This window comes from Homo sapiens, chromosome 20, assembly GCF_000001405.40.
Source record: "Homo sapiens chromosome 20, GRCh38.p14 Primary Assembly".
Classification (NCBI taxonomy): domain Eukaryota; kingdom Metazoa; phylum Chordata; class Mammalia; order Primates; family Hominidae; genus Homo; species Homo sapiens.
This window is the reverse complement of record NC_000020.11, coordinates 24842993-24846026: the sequence shown is the minus strand read 5'-3', so window position 1 is coordinate 24846026 and position 3034 is coordinate 24842993. Positions and strand designations below refer to the sequence as shown.

The 3034-nt window shown below is 38.7% G+C and overlaps 1 annotated feature.

Annotated features, from left to right (window-relative positions):
* Nucleotides 2472-2671: an enhancer, noted in NCBI's record as "active region_17647". NCBI's record gives its function as "activates an Ori minimal core promoter by ATAC-STARR-seq in GM12878 lymphoblastoid cells {active_cell/tissue: GM12878}" and the evidence as "EXISTENCE:reporter gene assay evidence [ECO:0000049][PMID:35858748]".

The following is a 3034-nucleotide window of genomic DNA, read 5'->3' as shown; positions in this document are numbered from 1 at the left end:
CCAAAGTAATTTATAGATTCAATGCTAGTCCATCAAACTACTACTGACATTCTTCACAGAATTAGAAAAAAACTACTTTAAATTTCATATGGAACCAAAAAAAGAGCTTGTATAACCAAGACAATCCTAAACAAAAAGAACAAAGATGGAGGCATCACAGTATCTGACTTCAAACTATGCTACAAGTCTACAGTAACCAAAACAGCATGGTACTGGTACCAAAACAGACATATATACCAATGGAACAGAACAAAGACCTATGAAATAATACCACACATCTACAACCATCTGATCTTCAACAAACCTGACAAAAACAAGCAACGGGGAAAGGATTCCCTATTTAATAAATGATGCTGGGAAAACTGGATAGTCATATGCAGGAAACTGAAACTGGACCCGTTCCTTACACTTTATACAAAAATTAACTCAAGATAGATTAAAGACTTAAATGTAAAACCTAAAACCATAAAAACCCTAGAATAAAACCTGGGCAATACCACTCAGGATGCCCATTCAGGATGTAGGCATGGGCAAAGACTTCATCACAAAAACACCAAAAGCAACTGCAACAAAAGCCAAAATTAACAAATGGGATCTAATTAAACTAAAGAGCTTCTGCATAGCAAAAGAAACTGTCATCAGAGTGAACAGACAACCTACAGAATGGGAGAAAAGTTTTGCAATCTACCCATCTGACAAAGGTCTAATATTCAGAATCTACAAGGAACTTAAACAAATTTACAAGAAAAAACCAGCCCCATCAAAAAATGGGCAATGGATATGAACAGACACTCTCAAAAGAAGACATTTTATGCAGCCAAAAAACATGAACAAAGACTCCAACATCACTGATCATCAGAGAAATGCAAATCAAAACCACAGTGAGATACCATGTCACATCAGTCAGAATGGTGATTATGAAAAAGTCAAGAAACAATACATGCTGGTGAGGCTATGGAGAAAAAGGAACACTTTTACACTGTTGGTGGGAATGTAAATTAGTTCAACCATTGTGGAAAATAGTGTGGCGATTCCTCAAGGATCTAGAACCAGAAATAACATTTGACTCAGCAATCCCATTACTGGGTGTATACCCAAAGCTATATACCAAAGGAATATAAATCATTCTACTATAAAGAGACATGCACATATATGTTTATTGCCACACTATTTACAATTAGCAAAGACATGGAACCAATGCAAGTGCCCATCAATGACTGACTGGATAAAGAAAATGTGGTACATATACACCATGGAATACTATCCAGCCAAAAAAAAGAATGAGATCTTGGGAGGCTGAGGTGGGCAGGTCACCAGGTCAGGAGATCGAGACCATCCTGGCTAACACAGTGAAACCCTGTCTCTACTAAAAATACAAAAAAAATTAACCGAGCATGGTGGCAGGCACCTGTAGTCCCAGCTACTTGGGAGGCTGAGGCAGGAGAATGGCGTGAACCCGGGAGGTGAAGCTTGCAGTGAGTGGAGATCATGCCACTGCACACCAGCCTGGGTGACAGACTCTGTCAAAAAAAATAAAAATAAATAAAACCAAGAATGAGATCATGTTCTTTGCAGGGACATGGATGAAGCTGGAAGCCATGGTCCTCAGCAAACTAACACAGGAACAGAAAACCAAACACCACATGTTCTCACCCATAAGTGGGAGTTGAACAGTGAGAACACATGGACACAGGGAGGGGAACAACACACACCAGAGCTTGTCGGGGTAGAGGGCAGGGGAGGGAGAGCATTAGGACAAATACCTAATGCAGGTGGGGCTTAAAACCTAGATGACAGGTTGATAGGTGCAGCAAACCACCGTGACACAGGTATACCTATGTAACCTGCAATTCTGCACATGTATCCTGGAACTTAAAGTAAAATAAATAAATAAATAAATAAATAAATAAATAAATGTAAACTATAAATAGGAGAAGCTATTAAGAGAGAAGATTTGATTCTACAAACATTCAAATCTCTGCCCATCAAATCTTAAGCAAAATTGAAAGGCAAATGGCAACTCAGAAAAAACATTTACAATGGGGGCTGATGATTAGATGTCCTATGATTCTGATTTGCTCCAGAGAGTCCTGGTTTCTGCCTGTTTTCGTGCATAATTATTGACTGTAACACTTCTACTCTCAAATGCCCTGATTTAGACAATAAATTACACTATTATCCTAAAAATTCTTAATATCTATAGTATATAGAGTGGCAGGAGGCTGTTAAAACTAAAACAGGTAAGAACCAGGATAGAAAATGCAATAAAGCCACACACAGGTAATGCATACATACAGATTCAAACAAACGGTCAGTTCATATCGAAAAATATTTACTGTTGATAAAAAAATAGAGGCCACAATAATGTAGTATTTTAAAATTAACAATTGCAAAGCTCCATAAACAAGTACACAGGCACACAAACATATACATGCACATACATGCACACACAGACACATGTACACACACAATATGTATATACACACATACACACAGACACATATACACACATGCACATACACATACAAGCACATATATATACACACAGGCACATACAGACACAGACACACATAGTGTTGTACAGATCTGAAGCATTTCCTACTCTCTTGGATGTAACAACTTGGAAGACCCCTCCTGGGAGCAGTTTTGCAACTTGCATGAGAAAGTTTTCCACTTCAAGTAATGTGCCTTCAGGAAATATCTTACAGTGAGCAGAATGACTCGGCTATTGTAGTTGTCATTGCAGCCTTGTTTATAGAACACTTGAAAAAAGGGCAGTGTCCCAAAAAGAGGAACTGGCTACATTGTTATTAGCTGGTGGTGATGAGGTCGGGTAAACTCAGCATAAATGGTATCTGTGGTCTCTGCCACTCTCTCATGAGGGAGCGAATAGGAAAAACACACTGCTTTCCGCAGTACTCCACTATTACTCTCGATACTTCATTTCTGACACCAGATGTGTGGGTTTTCTTGACCAATTCTCCAATACGAGCTGGTGTTCTCCAATTTTACTCACTTCTGAAACCAACCTGAG